This window comes from Homo sapiens, chromosome 15 (genome assembly GCF_000001405.40).
Source record: "Homo sapiens chromosome 15, GRCh38.p14 Primary Assembly".
Lineage (NCBI taxonomy): Eukaryota > Metazoa > Chordata > Mammalia > Primates > Hominidae > Homo > Homo sapiens.
In genome coordinates, this window is record NC_000015.10 from 101,428,183 (window position 1) to 101,449,456 (window position 21,274).

The window sequence follows — 21,274 nt, forward strand, 5'->3', positions numbered from 1 at the left end:
ATCCTGAATGTGGCAAGTGCTCACGCATGGTCACCTCTTCCAGCATGCCTCCCCTGACCCCCATGTGGGAGGAAGGTGCCTGCCCCAGTGCCCGTGGTCCTATACCTTCCTCCTCCCAGCACGTGTAATTGGCACATGGCCACTGCTGTGTAGGGTGGGTGCTGCGCCACCTCGGCCTCGTGTCTCCTGTGGCTGGCAGCAGGGACACCTGCTGCCTGGCAGGATGAAAGAAGGAACAGTCTGGTGCTGATGTCACCTGCCTCATCCCCTATGCACCTACAACACCATGCTTACCCTGAGGCAGCCCTTCCTGTGCTTCTAAGGCCATTTAAGCTGGAGCTGAGGAAGAACGCTCTAAATTAAACACTCAGCAGCTGGGAGACTATGAAGAAATGACCAGAAAAACAAATGCGTTTTCCTCAGTAATGACCCCATTCTCTGATGTGCCACGTCGGGTCAGTTCCTCCAGCGGGGGCCAAAATAGGAGCAACTTGAAATAGCACATCTTTGAGAAGAGTCCACAGAGGATGGGAATCATTGATTCAAATTTAAAGCTGCCTTTAAAAATCGCCCCAGGCAGCAGCCCTCTGGAAGAGAGTCATCTGTCCTTCCCTGGAAGCCACACAGCTTCAAGGCCAGGGCTGTTCCCGGGGTCACAGAGCTCAATGGATGGCTCGGGATGGGATTGAATCCTGCCCTTCAAGGGTCACTGCGTGGTATGTGGGTCATTCCTCCTTTGCCCCAGGCATCCTCACTGGCAGCAGGAAGGGCACCTTGGGACGTGCATGAGGCTGGGCTGCTGCAGGCTCGCGGGAGCTCTGCAGCCTGCTGTGTGGAACTCCAGTGGCCGAGGCTTCCTGCACAGCATTGCCTGCGCACCCGTTTGTGAATCTCAGAATCAAAGCGACCACAAACTAAAAGACTATAATCGGGAGACGCCCCTCAGCAAGAGTCTTGTCAACAGTGGGGAGGAAGAAAAAGCTTTTATTATTTCCCTCTAAATATTTTTAGAGGAATGATAAGAGCTCAGGGTATGGGGCATGCTGATGGAGAAGGAAAGAGACAGCAAATGAATTCCCAGGACTGACCCCAGGGCTGCCGTTTACACTGCAAAGTCACCTGGGCTCTCCGGACCCCACTGCCTCCACTTGCAAAATGACAGTGACACAAAAACGCCCACCATTTCGGAAGAATCTGCTGGGTGCATTCCTCATGCATCATCTCACTGACCCCTCCTGTGACCCTGTGAGGTAGGGGACATCACTGGCCTGGACGAGCCTCTAAGACACTAAGACATGAAGTTTCAACCAGCTCACCCGGCATGCACGCAGCCAGTAAGTGGGAGAGCTGCGATCTGAACCTGGGTCTATCCAGCATTACTCATGCCCCTTCCACCTCATTCCTAAGGTCACAGAGTCACAAAAGCTCAGGCACGTGACCTGTGTGCTCAAACAGACCAAACTGCTGTCTTCACACAGCAGGTCATGGAGACGGTTAGACTTAAGGGTTTCTCTTTTAAAATATTTCAAGAAAGTTGGAAACAGGAACGATGTCTGTCAAACACCCATTTCTAGCTGCCCGGCAGCGGTGACACCCCAGAGGAACAGGCTGACTCCACAGAAGCTGGCCGTGCCTGAAGGGCTGTGCCTGGCATGGCCTGTGACTCCTGGAGAAGCCTGCCTCGCGCCCAGGCAGGGAAGATACGCCGGCAGCCACCGCCTCTCCAGCTCCCTCGCACACACATTCAATAGTGACGCTGCAGGGAGGGGAAGAGAAGCCGGGGAGATGAGGCGAGGTGACGTACTTATTTTCATTGCTGGCATCATATCGTGGAGATGGGTCATAATCATTGCCGTTCACGTCGTAGCTGGCGTAGGAATCCTAAGAAATGGAATCGTGGTGAGTGAGGAGAAATGGCATGTGACAGCTCTGTTTGAAATGGATTTTATGTTCCGTTGGCAAATAGAGAAACCACACGCGGGGCTCCTCTCTTACTATAGCTATAATCTCATATACGTTTTTATCGTGGTAAAATATATGTGACGGGAAATACACGACCTTAACCATTCTCGAGTGTGCGGCTCAGTGGCATTAATTCACAGTGCTTGAGGCCATCGCTGCTACCCATCTCCAGAACCCTTTCAACCTGCAAAACCCCACACCCACTCAACACTAACTCCCCACTCCCCTCTCCCAGGCCCTGGCAACCCCCACTCCACCTTTTTGTCTAAGAGTTTGGCTACTCCGAGTCACTCGTGTAAGTGGAATCAGGCAGTATTTGTCCTTTTGTGACTGGCTTATTTCACTTCGCATAACGTCCAAGGTTTATCCACGTTTCCACGTGGGTCAGGATTTCCTTCATTTTATATTTTCAATAGGTATGCTTTTGTTTATATGACTGTAACAGCAGTATTCACATAATTTTACATTCTCCTTTTAAAATATATGATAAAAGGTTTCCAGTGTTGTTGACACGTAGTCTGCAAAATTCATTTCTAAGGGCTGCATAACGATCTGTCAGATGGATACAATATGGTTTACTTAATCACCGGTAGGTGCCCAAGTCCCTTAGAGTATTTCTTGCATCTATGATATTTACGATATGCCAAGCTTGTGTCCTTACATTTAACTAATTTAGTCCTTACAATAACTCCGTGAGAGAGTCGTTCTCTTATGAACCATTTTACAGACGGTAAAATGTTTACAGATGAGGCACAGAGAAGTTAAGTAACTTACTCAAGATCTCAGAGCTAATCATTTGCAGACCCAGGATAGGAACCCAGGCACTCTGGGCCTAGAGCCCGTGTTTTCACACTGTCACCCTGTCACTGTTCGTGTTGCTACTATCTGTACGCTGATGATCCCCCTCCATGCATTTCTTAGTTCTTTAGGCTCCATTCCTAAAAGTGTATGTGACTGTGCAAGCATGTGGATGAATCCCTCTGCAAAACCCTTGCCCCTGACAGTAGCAAGTAGCAGAATATTCATCTTCCTAATTCTTTCCAGCATAGTTTTCTTTACTGCCTAACTTAATGGGGGCTGGGGGAGATCGGGACCTTACTGTTTTTAAACTTGCATTTACTTAATGACCAGCACAGTTGAATATATTTGCATGTCAGTTCCGAGGATTGACTTACATAATTTGGGGCCAGGTCAGGGTGATTTCTCTCTATGCCATCATCAAGGATGGTGACCACCACGTTTTTTCCTGTGTAGCCCCTCTTCCACGCTGCCTGGACATTCATTTCCGACCGGCAGCGACTGTTCTTGTCGCCACAATGCTGTAAGCACGAAAGACACAAAGTCCCCCCGACATGGACATTCCAGATGCAGAACTGACACTCGGTGCACACCCCACAGGGAGGCGCTTAGGCTTGCAAGTAAAAAAGGAGGGAACACCTATCCCTGCCTTACATAGCAGAGCTCCTCTTTCCCACTCGGATCGAGAATCATGCAGACGGCTCCCTTGCTTTTTCTGCACCTGCAATCTATATTTTCCCAGGGCATCGCCTCCCAGCAGGAGCTCTGTCCATGGGCTGGGCTTTGCCATTTAGTCATACAGCCTGCATCAAATCACTTCCCTTCTCAAAGAGCCCCCATCCCAGAGTGTGCTGCACAAAGTTTCAGAAAAAATCCACAGGAAAGCCGGTACTGCACAGCCTTGCGGTAGTGGTTTTACACCCTCAAGGTGAAGTGTGTCTGTCTGGAGATGTTGTTTGAATTTAGCTTTGTTGAGGGAAATTAACCCATTTCAGAGACCTGGCAGTGCAAGTGTCCTGGGGCAGACAGAGGTCCTGTCCTACTCACCAGGTACCACATGTTGGACCAAATGGGGTCGTTGAAGTAAAGGGCCTGCGGGTCACTTCGCACCTGTCTCTTCACCCTTCGTTTCACTTCCTGTTGCTGGAGCCATTTCACCTACCAGAAGAAATGCAATTACTGTTTATATTAGAAATGATTTCTTGATTTTATGTAGCCTCTTTGCAGGTGCTACAGCCTTCCTTGTGCGTGAATATCTGTGTCATAGCAGATATTTTAGATGGTAAGTTCCTGGGGACATTTTCACTTCAAAGTGACTACATTTGAAAGATGAGAAGTTGTTTGTGTATACAGAGGAAGAAATAACACCACTCTGATAGATTTTGAAGTCGTTGTACTAAAAGAAAGAAAGTGCTCACGCCTGTCATCCCAGCACGTTGGGAGGCCGAGGCAGGAAGATCGCCTGAGCCCAGGAGTTTGAGACCAGCCTGGGCAACATGGTGAAACCCCACCTCTCCAAAAAAAAAAAAAAAAAAATCTAGCTGGGCATGATGGCGCATGCCTGTAGTCCCAGCTCCTCAGGAGACTGAGGTGAAAGGATTGCTTGAGCCTGGGAAGTCAAGGCTGCAGTGAGCCATGATTGGTGCCACTGCACTCCAGTCTGGGCAACACAGCAAGACCCTGTCAAAAAAAAAAAAAGACAGAGAGAGAGAGAGACAGAAAGACAAGAAGGAAGGGAGGGAGAGAGGGAGAGAAGGAAGGAAGCCAGCCTTGTGAAATTGCCGATAAATTATCTGGTGATCCTTGTCCTGAAGAAAAAGGAAATACACACATGGGAAAGCAGTGAATGAAGAAAGTGTTTGGTTAACTGGTATTGGAATTTGCTTTACAGTAAGGACATAAGTAAATATGGTAAGCCATATATTGGAATATTTGGCAGCCACCAGCAATATGGTACCAAAACATGCACAGAGAAAAATCTAGAAAGGAATACAGCAAAATAGTAGTAGCATCAGTTCCTGGGTGGTGACATTATTGCTAATTTAAAATTTTACAATTACTTTCAGGATGTCATAAATGTCTTTCAATCAGCATGATTTGTTTTCACGATCAAGGAAAAAAGTTCACAAGGCTGTATCACTGATATTTAAGACCAAGGATCAAGGCACCAGGCCACCTGCAATAAAACCCAGCCCCGTGCTCACCAGCTGTGTGACTTGGAGCTGACAGTGGACATCCATGGCCTCAGGGTGGTGTCCACCCACACAGTGGGGACAGTCATGGGTTGCCACAGGGTTAATATAAGAAACAACACATATAAAGCCCTCAGACCAGTGCCTGGAGCACTCCTGCTCTTATCATCCCGTGTACACATTCTTTTCAAGCTGGAAAAACTTTTTCATTTTAAAAGGATCTTGGGGTAAAGACTTCTTGGACCCTGAGTGGGAATGTTTTCTTTGGTCTTACCACGGCAGCTCCACCTGATTGAATAATGCTCAAAGCTGGGGTTCAGCCTGGCTCTGGGGCCTGACATGGGTGGGATAAGGATGGGCGCCAGGGCCGTGCTCTCGAGGAGTCTGCACTACATTCAGGGGATCCCACCAATCAGAGGATGATGTGAGTTCCAAACAGGGCAGGCTGCCTGGAGGAGGCAGCTAGAGGCAGGGGAGGAACAAGAGAAGGGGGCGGGGCCCCAAGGTGACCCAAGGCTGGCGACCCAGGGTCGTGCTGGAAGCTAGAACAGAGCTACCTGAGGCTGAGTGGGCAGGGAGTAACAGTCCCCAAGAGCAAAGGGACAAGATTTCTCTTCCTCCTCCCTGAGCCTTGGCCTCCCCACATCACCCTGAGCAAGGAGAGCGGAGCACCTGCATACACAGCTCAAATTTAGGGCTGGGGATGGCCTCCAAGACATCCTTGGTGTACAGGGCAAAATGCCGGAAGAGAGGCATCCCAGCCTGTCCCACCCCGATGTAATTCGTCTATAAAACACCAGCAGACCAGACGCCTTAGAAACACTGCAAAGGGCTCAAAACCAGTTTCACGTCACACACTTAAAAAATCCTCAGCACCAAGTCCTAGATAATTTATAATGGCCGCTGACAGATACTTCCACAGAAAATAAAACTATAAAATGAGATATTTTGTTCCTAACACCGGCTGATGGCATTTTGCAATGTCCCCATATATTACTGCCTGAACTAGAAGGCTTTTTACCTGGTCTAAGATGCCGCAAACAATATTTCATAATCTGTTCAGCACGCTATTACAAAATACAGTGGTATGTAGATCCCGCACAGCCCAAAGCTCCCAGGGATGTCCCGCCCTCCTGCCAGGCTGAGCCCTGTTTGTGCTAAGGGGCCCTGAACTCTCTGTTCTAACAACATCCAGCCCCTTCCAATTGCTGTGCCCACCAGACCACACTTCCAGTCAGAGGAGGAGGCACACTCTGCCCTTCCAAGCCCAAGTGGGTGACACCCCACTAATCAGCTGGGAGATGTGGGAAAGCGTAGAGCCAGAAGTCATAAGAGGGTTCCTCAGCAGGATGGAAGAGCCTGGGCATCCCGGCCCTTGGTCCTTGCTGGGCTCTGGGCAAAACCCCACAACACTGGCACACAGTTCTGAGGGGGACTGTGATAGCCTGCGGCCCGCAGCACAGTTTGGGGCTCTCTCTCTGTCGTGGTCGCAGGGGCAGCCCTCTCTCTGCTAACACACCTGCTCATTGTAAGTCTCTGACGGCAAGTGAGGTGCTCTCAGGCCAATGGAACCGAACACTGTACAACAGATGACTGACCAGGCGTGGGGGCTTCTCCGTGGAGACGGGATGCAGGCAGACAGCGCGGTGGCAGAGGCTGATTCTCCCGGCACTGTGTCCCTTCCTCTGGGTTCCAGTCACTCCCTTGCTTCTCACCCAGCTCCAGGACAGCACAAGGGGATCCCGGATCCCACCTCCTACCCACCACAAAGAGAAAGCCATTTTCCAGGTTCACCTTCCCCAGTGTCTCCAGAGAGCAGGCATCCTGGGGTCACTTATTCTGTGGCTCACTCAACAAAAATGCACTGAGTCTTCCTGTGTGTCTGGCGCTAGGTTCTGGGAAGATCAGCATGAACATACCTGGTTCCCGGCCAGGACCAAAGTGCCTCCCCCTCCCATCCCCAGCTGGGATGCAAAGCTCTGCCTTCAATGCCCCCTCGGGGTGAAACCAGGAGCCACCTGGACACTCTGTGGAGGTCAGAGGTGTGTCACCAGCCCCAAACCAAGCGACTAAAACTCCAGCCCTCCCATCGAATGGAAGCAACCCTCACAGGTTGCAGTGAGCAGAGATTGCACCATTGCACTCCAGCCTGGGTGACAGAGTGAGACTCTGTCTCAAAAAAAAAAAGAAAGAAAGAAAGAAAGAAAGAAAATGTGATTAGGTCTAAATGACTGCTAGATGACATCTGTTGACTTTTCTTGTGGAAAATCAACTATAAGTGATTTGGGGCAAAGGCAAGGTTTGCCAAATGCCACTTCTAGCCCAAACAGAAACCGTCTTTCTCTGCAAATCTGTAGAAAGTGCCAGGATTTCTTTAACGTCATACTTTGAAGATAGAACTTCACTCTGACCTTTTTATCCTTTTCTCTATTTTCCAAATGTATGTTTCCTGCTAAACATGCAGCACAGTTATAGATAAGCTACGCTCTGGGGCAGGGAGTTCTAATCATGAAGAAGGCTTCATCGTCTTCTCAAGACAGGTGCGCAGCAACACTTTCTTTTGTAGTGTGTGCTTCCTCCAGCTTCCTTCTCGAGAAGCCAAGTTAAAATGAGGCATCCGTTGACTGTCCCTCTGTTGATAAGACGAGGTAAAATCTAAGGATGTTCCTAAAGGGTAACATAAACAAGCAGAGACCCAGGAGGGGGCCCTGCCCGCGTTCCAGTAAATGGCTTGCCATGCTGCAGGCTGTCCATGCCACCGAGTTGTGATCCTTGTCCAAGCATCCTTTCAGCGAGCAGCCATGGGCAGCCTTGGCCCTGTCTTCTTCCCTGTGGGCCACAGGTGGGCCAGAAGCTTGCTGACATATCATTCCCAGGTGTGACAAGCGACAGGGGAGGGTGTTTTGAAACTTTCACTCATGAGCCAGTGTCACCAAAGAGAGCATGAAATCCCTCCCACTTGCACGTCCACCCAAAGCCACCATGTCCTTCTGCCCTAACTTCAAGCCTGTGCCTATTCAGAGGGGCCCTGCTGTGGCTCAGGAAGGCCCCTAGAAGTTCTTGGGAGCTGGAGAGTCCTAAAAGGAGAGGGGCTTCAGTCTTTGCTCTGAGATGGAGGGAAGGCCACGAAGGGCATACACAGGCACCCTCCCCCAGCGGTCCAGGGGTCCCACACAGCATCAAGGGAGTCAAGCTGCTGAGGTTCTTTGAAGTACGCACCGGCAGGGCTGCGGACACCAGGTTCACACAGGTTCTGCACAGTTGTAGCCAACGCAAGGGAGACAGCTCGGCCAGCTCTTTCTTTTCTCTTTTCTCCCTGGTTTCATCAAAGCGAAGGTTACTTTATTCTGTAACTGTGAAAGAACAAGGGGACTGCAAGCCAGACCTGACTGTCCACCAGGGCATATCAAGGGAGGGAGTCGGAGGCCATACCTCGGCACCCAGGAGCCACCAAGCTCCAAAGCCTCCTCCAGGAGAGAACAATCAGGGCACCGTAGAAAATAAGCCTGTTATTCTCTCTGTGTGGGAGGTGGGCACCCTGCCTGGGCCTCTCCCTCCACACTGTAAAGCAGGGGCTGGGACCGGTCCCTCTCTCAGAGCTTGTGCACTCAACAGTCTGTGGCGCTTAGATCTTGATTCCCATCAACCTTGACTGCTCTGAGCACCTCGCTGGGCCAACATCCAACCAGCTAAAGAGCTCAGTGAGAAAGCTGACTGGTGAATTTAAAGAAAGAAAAATCCCACTCCCCGACAAGTGCCCGTCACTGCATAATGTGCAACGTGGCCCTTCTCTCACTGACAGGCGACGATTCATGCAGCACACTGGAGCCATCTTGCCCTGGATCCCACAGTCCCTCAAGGAGTGGAAGGACAGGCTCGAGTCCCAGAAACCCCAGAACTGTATGCAAAATGGTGCCGGCATGAGCATGATGTCTTTTTTCCTCTGGAGAGCGAGAGGCCCCACAACTTCCAACAGCTTTTCAAAGGGGCCTGTGATTCCCCCAAATGGCTAAGAACCACTGAACCAAGCTAGACAGAGGCAGAAAGCAGATCCAAGTTCTCCGAGTGAGGGATTGGTCCTGTGGCTGTCATCTTCCAGCAGGGCAAGAGGGCCATCGTGACAAGTGAGAGACGATTACATGGTTTCGTGAGAGCCCATCATGGCGAGATGCCCAGGCCCACCTCCGGCGCAGCACTGGCTCACCTAGGGGTGGGGCCGGGAAACCCCAGGCTGCCATGGCAAACACACAGCGGGAACCCAGTGAGTAAGCCCGGGCAGTAGAGGAGGGGGAGGAGGAACCAGAAAATAAAGGACATTCTAACTCAGCCTAGAAAGCCACCCCCACCACCACCTCCCGTGTCATCCAGGCAGCTGCGAGCCCAGCTCCCTCCCCACTGCCTCCCCTGCAGCCATAACTGCAACAGCGTAGAGACCATTTCTTGAATTCTTTCCATTGAAGTTAAACTACAGGTGCCAGAAGACCCCTGCTTAACAGTCATGAGAGAGGGAAGTCCTCGCTCTGCCGATGACGGAAATGGGACAGTGCGTGTGAAAGCTCTTTGGGAAAGTAAAGCTACTCATTTGTAAGTTAGTTCTTATTTTGCTGAAAGGGGACAGAAGGTGCCCCTCTCCCCACCGCCCGCCACCCACCTCCACTCACTGACAACAGAAGAGGCAGCTGGAGCCCAGCTTCACCTATTGTTAGGGGCTGACCTGTGAACCCCTAAATTCTTATGTTGAAATCTTAACCCGGGGTAGCTCAGAACGTGACTGTAATGGGAGATAAGGGCCTTAAAGAGGTAGTTACGTTAATATGAGGTCATGATGCGGGGGACCCTAATCCAATCTGGCCAGTGTCCCATGAGAAGAGGAGATTAGGACAGAGCCACTCGCAGAGAGGGACAACCACGTGAGGATCAAGAGACCTCAGAAGAAACCAACCCTGCCAACGCCGTAATCTCAGTCTTCCAACCTTCCTAAGTGTGAGACAATACGGTTCTGCGGTTGAAGTCCCCGCATCCTGTGGGACTTTGTTACAACTGCCCCCGCAGACTAACAAACTATGAGGTCCAACACTGCTCAACGTGTCTGACATGCAGTCACTGTCTGTACCTCTGTTATTTTAGCTTCAGCAATACAGGATACAGCTTTGTCAACTGAAAACTATATTTAGGATTTTTCCATAATTTAGCCAAGGTGGGTCAGAATTTACTTCTAAAGTATTTACATAGAAAGAAGTTGCTTATGTTACACACAACTTGCTTATAGGAGTCACATCTCTGGAACTTGAGATATGCTTCAGGAAGCATTGTCTACTGTTCTCTGGGTTGCTGCTGGACTTGTAAGGGAGTAAAAGCAAATGATATGTGGCCTTGACCCTCGATAACCTCCTGTTGCATTGGCAAGAGATGGGCTTGCATGCTTTGAACTCCAAGTTCCTCTCTCCCGAGGCATCCGCACAGCAGCGTCAGTCCGCCTTCCCATCGCCTCTCCTCTGGTTCTGGAACACTGAACGCCCTCCCAAGCCTGACGATCCAGGTCCCCCAGGAACCACCTGCAGCTCCCCTGCCGACTCTGTCTGTCCCTGACAGATCCCAAACAAACTGAACTAGTCATCGTTCCCAACAAACACTGCTGTGTGCTCCTACTCTAGGGCCAGATCTAGAATACAAACATACGACTGCTAGAAGAGCAGGCCAAGTCCGCAGCCTCTGAGCAGGCTTCCTGGTGGCAGGGATATTGGAGCCCAGAGGGGAAGGTGGGGAAGAGAGCAACAGCAGGGGAAGGTGGGGAGCCGTCTGTGCAAAAGCTCTGCAGAGGGAAAAAGAGCGAAAGTCACCCGAGGAGGATCTTAAAGGCCAGTGGTGGCCGTATTTCAGAGGATCCCTCAGGAGCATGGGAGGTGACTGGCCGGGGCAAGGATGCCCACATGAGGCCAGCAAGGAGGGCAGTGCAGTGGTGCAGGCAAGAGATGACAGGAGCTGGGCCTAGGGCAGGAGACACAGGACATGGCAGGGCCAGGTTGTACGGGAGGTGGAACAAGTGTAGGGGGGAAGGAGAGGCCGCTGGCACTGCAGTGGAATGCGGATGAGCGCTTCCCTCTGAGACAGACTAGGGTCAGAGACAGTGAGCTGGGTTTGGGACATACTGACTTTGGATTGTCTTTGAGATATCTAAGCGGAAGGGCAGAGCATGTCGTGAAAGAATAAAATGCTGTCTTTTAAGGTAAATTTACACATTCAAACTTTTTACCAATTCCTAGCAGCCATGCCACTAGAACCAGCTGGGTGGTGCTGAAAATGTGAACAGCCAACTTGTCACTGTCATTCGATCACCCTCATGGGGGAGCAGTCCACCGTCCCCACGTGGGCAAATCCTCTGGGCCCTGGGCAGCTGCCTGGCCCTGCCCTCAGCCCATGACACAGTTCATCAACCCCTGAGACCAATGTGGTCACTTACTGTCTATGTGCTCTTGTCAGGAACTTTCTGTTTGTTTGCACTTTGAATTGCTCTAGCACACAAAACTGTTAGATAAAATTCCATCTGTGGTTAATGGAAAGATCTGCTTCAACATTGCATCACTGCTGGAAGGAAACCCGAGCTTTGATTAAACTCCGGGGGCAAAGTCCCATCCTACAAAACAGAATGCCTCCTCTGGTCCTTGCAATCATTTTGCAACTTCTAAGCTTTAAAGCACTGAAATGAAGCATTGAACCCAAGCCTCCTACGGCCCTAGAAGGAGCCACCAAGGCTCCCTCTGAACATCTTTATCCTTCCATTTCCATCACCAATCTGGCTGAGATCTGTAGGGAAGGAAAAGAGCTGAACCCAAGTCATCATGCTAAAATGTAAGGTCTGGAAGACACAGGCAGCAACGACTAACTATAAGCCAGCTTGGAACATAATCAGAACAAGTAATTTTAAAAAAATTTGTGAGCCCTTTCAGTGATTGGTCGACGCTTCTGTAATATCCACCCTTCTCCAGACTTTTGGCAAAAGAACAAGTTAAAAACAAATGCTTTCAGTTTGCTTAAATGACAAGCCTTGGAAAAACCCAGCGACCGATAACTGCACACTGCGAACACTTGGGCTGTTCCTCCAAGGACAGGGCTGAGTAACAAAGCAATCTGAGCAAAATGGCCCTTTTCAAAGACGGTAAGAAAAACATCAAGTAAAGGTAATTAAGAATGCAAGGAAAATGACTGTACCATTCCGGTACAGGATCAGTGCGAAGAAGATGCCTAATAAGTGTGCGTGCACACACGTGCTTAACAGAGTCCTGCTGCTGACACCCCCTTGAGTTTTGTTTTGCTTTCCCAAATGTACATTCTATCTGCTTTTATGTGACATGGGGTGGACTGTACATTCCATCACTTATCAAAGCACTCCTATACAATAGGGACTGGAACTAATTAAAATAAGATACCGTCTGCATTTGATGGAACTTTATCCTAAGCCCCATAACATTCATTTCCAGTTTGGTCATTTGAACACAATGGCAGCCTCGCATTCCGAAGTCTCTGAATAATATTAAATCATCTTTTCCTTTTGTTAATAATATTAATTACACAACTCTCCAGATGTGAAGGTATCATAAAAATGCTTTGCCAACGTAGGGAAACGTTCTGATGCACTGCAATAAAAGATAACACTAAATACTTCCATAAAACAGCTAATTTCACCAAGTGTTTAATTGTAATGACTGGGTGGAGTAAATATTAGTCAGACTGACAGCTAATTGATTTGGTTTGCATTAAAGCTAGACAAATTTAAACAGAGGTATTTCAGTTGCGATTCTGAATTCATAATCGGTTCAGATGTCTGTGTGCTTTCCCTGGGGCTAACAATTTAATTAGAACTATGAGAAACAATCAGCCAATCCTAGGAACGTTCCAGGAAGGCCTGGGATGCCCAGGCTGTTTACCTTTCTTCCTTTCTTCTTTACTGGCAGGATGCATTGATAGAAGCCTTGCCAGGAGCTTATTAAGAAGCTCTGTGAGAAGGAGATTTTTATTTGAAAAAATTTAACTGCTACGTTAGCCTTTGCCTAGGAAGTCTCTATCCTTCCTTCTGCTGACTTCGAGGAGACAACTAATGCCTGGGAATGCTTTGCCCTCAGACCCAAACTGAATATAGGACTTTTAACACACCTAAAATGGGTCAATCAAGCAGCTCAGGTGCTGCAGAGAGGAGGCAGGTCCAGGGTATGGTGGCCCTCAAGCCCCCCACAGAGTCTGTCTCTGCTGCCTCAGCCTGCCTTGCTCATGCACAGGTCTCCCATCCCCATCTTCACCGAGAACTCAGCAACACAGAGACCTGCTGGGCAGCTCTGCATTACTCAGGCACAGGGTCCTGCACTCAGCAGGTGCACCATTAATATTTTTGGAAGGAAGGGATGAGCAGTCGACCTGAGTACCTTTAAAAGTTTTAAAATATAGTCACCAACAACAGAGGATGTAGTCAAAACACAGATTAAGTCTCCTATTTCGACTCTGCCTTAGTTCTAACCATTAAGAATCTGCTTTATTAATTCTTGGAAGGCCTCATGGAAAGAAGACCAAGAAATCCACGGTCCCCGTCTCTTCTCAGAGCATGCTTATGAGATGGGCTTCCTGCATGCAAACAGCTTGCTTTCATTGTAACTATCCGCGTGGTGGCAATTCAACAACTCAAAAGACTTCAGTTGAAGAATGAGGATGTTTCTTCACACGGCAGATCAAGTGCTTGCTTAAAGTGAAAGTGTGGAGGGATGCTGCGTCGACCTCTTTCCTAGCTTAGAATTTCCTCCAAGATGACAGATGACGGTCTCTCAACCGCACAGAACTCACGCCTCCTCCGGGATCAGCCTATGCACCCTGTACAGAGGCTCCCTGCTGCTCAGTTTTCTACTGATCCACCCTTCCCCAAGTGCCCCACTCTTTGGGAAGGAGCAACTACAATCTGGCTTTTTTCCTAGAGGATTAAATATACTGGCCCCTTTGAAAAACATTCCTTCATGTTCCATGGTGTAAGCACAAGTAGACGTAATCTCACCCCCATGTGATGGGGTGAGACGGTGCATGTAAAGTGCCCAAGCACAGCCATCCCTTAGTAAACACTTAACTCCTTCCCTTGCTATGAAGGAATAATGGAATTAGCACAATGTTTCATATCTATCTCGTTCGACTTATCCGTATCTATCTATCCATCCATTCATCCATCCATCCACCCACCTATAAAACCAATCCAGAAATATATTCAAGACAAGTCTGTCTTTTCACAGCCCAGGTCCATGGGTGAGCTCCATGGGGACCACTTCCTCATATGCTTCAAATCAAAACCCTCACCATGCGATGCCCCAGAGAAGGATAATTCAGGTACAGAGCCCAGAGATAACGCGTCTCTCCAACAGATCCCTGCTCAGTCAATACAAAAAGAGCCCTGATTGTCATTGAAGCAGGTGGGTTGGGGCAACACCAAGAACCCATTTTTCCATAAAAACTTTACTCTAAGTATTTTCTGGAAATAGCTGAAATAATATTGTGCACCAGCCAGGGGGCCCAAACAAACATCTAGTATATACGTTAACTTTTAAGAGAAGATGATTTCTGTGACCTAAAACTATGATTTACCAATGACCTCCGTTCCTTGCTGGGGCTGCTACTGCTTCTCACGTGAACTTCATTTTCCTTCTCAGCACTCATCGCCCTGTGACATATCACATATTTTTCTATTTCCTGCTTCGTTTTCTGTCAGCCCTGCCGCCAGCTCCACGGGCCCTGCTATGGACAGAGCCAGCCACATGGAAGGTATTCCAAAAATACCTGCCAAATGAATGAACTCACTGGAGGCTCACTTGGCCATCTTAAATTTTTAATCTTGACACATAACTGTTGATTGATCTTTCTCAAATATTAATTTCAAATCTATGCAGAAAGGAAGTATAATTAACCACCCAATAAATACGGGTTATGTTAAAATTTAAAATGTTAGCCTCCTTTCAAATCGCATTTGTTTTAATCCTGAAGATCATGTGAATCTTTGAGGAAAAAAAGTCATAGTTACTGCCTCAGTTTTCAAATTCATAGTAACCATTAACATACATGTTATGACAACCACAAAAACATCCACCTGCCTGATCTCTAATTTCATTATTAAAATACTTGCTTGAATTGCTTAGAGTTTTTGTTTCATGGGTAAGATTCATATATGTATCTCCTGTGAGTATTGTGTTTTGTTGATTTTAAAATGCTGAGAGATCCTCACTCACATGATTTAGTTCAGATGGTCTGATTCGTAGCTACACCTGTCTTGCTGTATTTAAAGTGAATATGGAAAACTCATGTCTATCCAGAATCACATTAAAATCCAGACTCCGCCATTTTTAAGACCACAGACCCAAACCCTCCAGCCCTTAGGAAAGCATCCGGACACTCTGTACCTGGGGGTCCATTCTGAGGAAGGTGTGAGGGCCTCTGCTACTCAAGGTTGATCTTTTAAAGGTTTTGCTGTGATAAAAATGGTAGTAATCTTCCAGGTTTCCAATCTGCAAGACAAGAAGCAGAATGCCATCAATTAATAGTCTCACGAACAGCTTCCAAAATCTTCCACCCCACAAGAATCTCCCCCTTATCTGAGGGGCTCATTCTCCCAGAGGAAACACACCCTCCATCACCCTGCTCCTCATATCTCTGGCATGTGTGCAGTGTTTATAAACGTGAAGGTGGATTCAGACACTCATTTTTAGATAAATAACACTAAGTCATATTTCCCATGGACCACATACTCCATCACATCTCACGGTAAATTAACATCATTTAAAGTTTGGACTATCATGGCCAAGTTTTTTAGACAGAAATGAATGTTCGTTTAGGGCCAAGAATCCCTGAAGTAGCTAAGTTGGTGTCAAGTCAGGTCTACACCAAAACATTCATTTATAAACAAACCCCATCCTCTCCACCCCATGGGTAAACTGAAATATCGAAGAATGAACACTCACTCTCCAGTGCAACAGGACAGCCAAAGAAAACACATGGATCCATCTGCTTGGGGATTGTGAAAGGGTCAGATGAGAACATCTAAACCTCCGAGGTGTCCCAATTTTCTGCCAGGGGCAGTTTGTCAGGACAGATTTCAGCTTGAGGACCGGATGGAACCAACAGCAGCCCTGTGCCCCAGCCCCTGGCCTTCAAGAAGGGCTGGCCCTCGCTGTAGCACCAGCTTGTCCTCACGTCTGTCCGGGCTCGAGCATGGGGACATTGTTATCGGAGGCCTGCTTCTTGGCTGTAGAGAAGGGCTAGTTGATCACCATCCTCCAAAAAGGATTTTAAAATCAAGATGGACTGGATATCATACAGACCCTCAGGTTGATCTTCTCAGGCTAAACCATCCTGGTTTCTTTTCTAGCTTGATTAAAGGGTAAATTTAAGACTAATGGTCCTCTACAGCAGTTCTATATGATGATTACAAACATGGGTTTTGAGTCAGATCGATTTGGTCCAAACCCTTCCTACCCCTCCACCAAGATTAGCCATGTGACCTTGGACAAGGACATTTGACTCATGGGAATCTCAATTCCTTATGTGTAAAATGGGGATAAAGGTACTTACCTTTAAAAGTTAAGTAGGACTAAAGCCTACCCGACTCACAACTCCTTGGCTGCCTCCACCTCATTCATAGCCATTTAGTCTGCTATAGTCTGACCTCAATAGAGTTGACTGGCCCAGGTGGAGACCTGGAGGGACTTGGATGCTGTGGCCATTTTCATATCTTTACACAAGAAGATAAGGCAGGAGTGCAAGAGAGAGCCTCCCAGCCCCTTTGCTTCCCTTCAGTTCTCCTTTCCGGCAACCCTGGCAGCCTTGCTGTCTCCTGTTCGTGGGTTTAGGAGACACCACTTTGTCCTCGAAATAAAGAGTTCCCTTTTCTACTTCAGCTTGCTCCAGTGTGTTTCTGTTGCTTACAACCACAGAACATCAAATACGAAGACAGTCATGAGGAATCAATGGGAATCACCTATATAGAGCCTAGCTGAGTGTCTAGAACCTAGTGGGCATTCAGCAAATGCTGGTGGTCCTGGGAGCTGGGATTCTCTCTCGGGCTCCTCCACTCCCTTCTCTGGGTCTGGGATGCTTTAGCTTTTGGCCAAATCCAGGTCTGCATCTAATGTGACCCTTCCCTCTGGGTGACCTGGGCTTACCCTCTCTCAGTTTCCTTATGAGACTAATAACCACCACCCTGAAGGGTTGCTCCGAAATTTGAACGCGATATTTACGTGTGAAAGAGCTAGCAGAGACCCAGCAGGCAGGTAGTAAGTGCTCGATACACGGTTTTCCGCAATTCTGATTCTCACATTTTTCTGCCATCATAAACCTCATTATTTCTGCCCTATTTTGCTCACAAGCACTTTTATTTTTCTTCCTACAGATAAGTCACCTTGCTCACTTCTTCAACAAAGTTAACTGCCACACGTGTCAAAAGGCTCCTCCTCACCCGCACTAGAGCTGTTATTTAGCTACGGAGGCAATCACCGAGTCTCAACTTGCCGCAGTGTTTAATCAACATGTTTGCTCATAAGCTGCCATCATCCCTGGGAGACGTTACGTAACTTTTGGTCTTTTAACTCTGGGCATTCGAGTCAATTCCCAGTCAGGGACATGGAGGAACGAAGAGTTGAATAAAACTTGCTGGCAAAGAGACTAATTGCAGCAGTGCTGACCCTTAGCAGGCTCATGACAGGGGGGCCTGGAAGCCATTCAGGGCAGCACCTGGCCTTTGACCAGCTAAGCCAGGCTTGGGGAAGCCACCTTTCCCCTCAAAGGCCAGTCCCAAAGCCATCCAGCCCCCTGCCCCGGGGCCGCCATGACTGTCCTTTGCAAAGGCCCCTGGGTCTGGGCTGATGTCAACTGTTCTCCACGAACGATCCAGGAAAGGCACAGACAGTCCCCAGAATGCTGACCAGGCCAACCACCTCTGGAGGCAGCAGCGGCCAGAACTCCATCTGTTTGGACACTTATGTCCGGCCTAGCATGAGAGCTGGGGGGCCGGGGAGGGACGCTCCCACTGCAGGGGAGAAGGGGACACCAGCCAAGGCTGCCCTTGCAAAGCCAGCTGCAGAAGAAGCTGGAATCACACATTCGTCCTCTGTGACTGGCTTATGTCATTCAGCATAATGTGCTCATGTTTCATCAGTGTTGGACCATGTGTCAGAATTTCCTTCCTTTTTAAGGCTGACTAATCTTCCGTTATCTGCACATCTCACATTTTGTTTATTCATTCATCTATTTATGGACACGTGGATTACTCCCACTGCTTGGCTGCTGGGAATAATGCTGCTGTGTACAAATATCTGCTCGTGTCCCTGCTTTCAATTCTTTTGGGTATATATCCACCTACCGTTTTTTGATAAATTTTCTTGGAACATAGCCACACCCACCCTTTCCCTACTGTTCATGGCTGCCTTCCTACTACAATAGCAGAGCTGAGTGGTTGCAACAGAGACCCTAGAGCCCACGAGGATCAAAGAGTTCATATGTGAACTCTGAAACAGAAAAGGCTGCCAGCCTGTGATGTACAGCATTTGCTGCTGAGAGTATCAGGGGAGTTCACCAAAGTCTCTGATGTCAAGCAAGGGTTCTCTAGGGCTGGGAAGTGGCGGTCCATACACGGAGTGACTCAAACACAGGTGCGGCTGCAAGCCTAGACCTTCAGCATCTCATTGAGTCTCTGAGACGTGCTTTTTCCATAAACCTTGTCAGATGCTCCAAGAGGCCCCGTCCTTCTGTCTGACTCATGTGGTCCTGCCCTCTGCCCTCCCTTTGCAACATCAGGCACCAGGTCAGGAGTGTGAGGTTTTCATCACGGGCAAAACCAGTGAGAGAATCAAAGGTGACACAGCAGGAGGCAGGAGCAGCTGCCCAGGAACACAGGCCCATTGAAAGTCTCGTCGGCCCGGATGATGCTGCGTTTATGATACAGCCATTGCTGTCTCTCGTCCTCCCCACCCACCTAAGCCCTTCTAGGCTTCTCATCTGACCTACCACAGCAGGGTCCACCCCAGGTACGAGGAGGTTCTGCCCCTCCCCAGTGAGGGAGGCTGTTCCTTCACATCTCTGGGTGCCTTCATGGGGAAGGGGGACAGGATGCCAGGCTGTGAGGCCCCCAGGCTCACGCAGGGTCACCTGTGGGGATGTGGCCACTGGCCTGGTTGAACATGAAGGACACCTGGCTGCCCTCTGGCCCTGACTCACAGATTAGGGTGTGACAAGGACCCACAGAGATGTCCCCATTTCACAGATGAGTATACTGAGGCCCAGGGAGGTTAAGACTATGTCACACTGTGGGGCTCCCAGTTCCTAAACCAGCAGCCTCCCCATTCTGCTCACAGACAAGCAGGTGACAAAATTTGATACTAAATGACATACAGATACACGAGTAGGGTTTAAGATGACTGCCACACTTTTAGGACCTCTTCAGGGTCAAATGGACAGCGGTGGACTCAGGAAGGGGGCGGCCTAAAGACAAAATTCCAAATAATCTTCCAGGTAAAGTGAGGTTCTTTTTTTATGTGGCATTTGCCCTGATGGCAGGTGTTCCTCCCTGCTCAGCAGCCTGGACGTCCTGGGTGGCTGCTGCTTGGCTGTGGCCTCGGACGGTGTCCACACCAGGCGCTGGCTCTGCTCCCGTGCTCACAGCTCATCGACTACGCACCGCTTCTCCAGCCGGTGCCTGAGCAGCCCGCCTTTAGAATCAGGAGCGGTGGCTTCCACGGACTGCCGCTATCGGAGGGCCCTGGCAGCCTCCTCCTCCTTCCCTCGATTATAGAAGGGAGGCGCTGCCTCCACCATCCCAGGCTGCGTCCCAGTCCTGCTCAGCCCCGTGTCCTCCCCTGACCTCCATCTGCTCTTCATCAATGAATCTGACTGCTAGTCCACAAGGCATTGTCTTTGTAATGTCATAACATGAAATTTAAATACGTTCTTGTTCTCTTTGGTGCCCGTGGTATCTTCACAATGAATTAATTAGAGCCCGTCTCATGCACCATTCAAGAAAATAAACAATTTGCTGAATACAGGGTGCTCATGTTTCTTTACTCAACGTTGATAGGCGATTATATGCATTACTTGATCAAACTGATAACATCATTAGAACATCATTACAAACCTTGCTAAATGTTCTTGACCAGAACACTGGAAGGAATGAGATCAAAGAACTCACAGTGAAGAGAGTTTAATGTAGTGTAATCCTCTTTAACAAGATGCTCTGACATTTAAAAAAATATAGGTAATATGTGCACATGATACAAAACATGGAAGGTACAAAAGGGTACAGAGTTAGTGGGGAACAGCAATTCCCCCTCCTTCACCTGTCCCCCAGCCAGGGATCCTCACTATTACCGAGTGCCCCTGGCTCATTACAACAGCTGACGCTTGCTGGGCACATGCCCCATTCCAGGCAGCAAGCTTGGAGTTCAGATGAATTAATAAGCTTCATTTTCATAACAACTGTAGGGAGTAGATGTTATGACCATCCTCATCTGACTGATGGGGAAACTGAGGCACAGAGCAGTGAAACTGTTCAAGATTCATTTAGTCAATGAACAGTCAGGATTCTTCACCGTTGAACCTTCTGCCTCTCGGCATGGTTAAGATTGTTAGTTACCATGGGGAATTTCAGGCACCTTGGTCCTTGTCCTTTGCGGCAGGTTCTTTCCCAGAGAACCAGTACCCTCAGCATGTGTGCACTTTCCTTCATTTCAATAAGGAAATCATGGGAGGCCTATATTATGTTTCAGGTACATATTATTCCATTATGTCTGTATACGAGTGTGTGTGCATATGTGTGGATGTATAGAATGTGTGAGTGTTGTATACACGTGTATATACGTATGCCGGTGTGTGTGTGTGCATATGTATATGGATGTGCAAGTGTTTGTATACAGATGTATATATATGTATACAGTCATGCCTTGGCATCCGTGGGGGGCTGGTTCCAGGCCACCCTGCAGATGCCAAAATCCACAGATGCTCAAGTCCCTGATATAAAATGGCATCATATTTGCATACAACCTACACACATCCTCCAATACTTTAAATCATCTTTAGACTACTTATAATACCTAATACAATGTAAATGCTGTGGAAATAGTTGTTATACCATATTGTTTAAGGAAAAATGACAAGAAAATAGTTTCTACATCCACCATACATTTTTTTTTCATGTTTTTGACCTGAGGTTGGTTGAATGTGTAGATGTGGAACCCGTGGATAAAGACAGCCAACTGCATATGTATTCAGGCGTGTGTGTGTATCTGTGCATATACACGTGTATATACATATCCAGG

General features: G+C 48.4%; 1 protein-coding gene across 7 annotated transcripts in view; it reads right to left on the reverse strand.

The window, feature by feature from the left end:
* The window catches only part of PCSK6 (proprotein convertase subtilisin/kexin type 6), a 185,775-nt gene that overhangs the window by 124,250 nt on the left and 40,251 nt on the right, over window positions 1-21,274 (reverse strand). For all 7 annotated transcript variants that reach the window (NM_001291309.2, NM_138319.4, NM_002570.5 and 4 more), the window contains exons 2-5: window positions 15,374-15,478; window positions 3,808-3,918; window positions 3,138-3,281; window positions 1,805-1,881 (exon numbers count right to left, since the gene is read on the reverse strand). In NM_001291309.2, coding sequence (NP_001278238.1) covers window positions 1,805-1,881; window positions 3,138-3,281; window positions 3,808-3,918; window positions 15,374-15,478 — 437 coding nt within the window. The remainder of the gene's footprint in view (window positions 1-1,804; window positions 1,882-3,137; window positions 3,282-3,807; window positions 3,919-15,373; window positions 15,479-21,274) is intronic.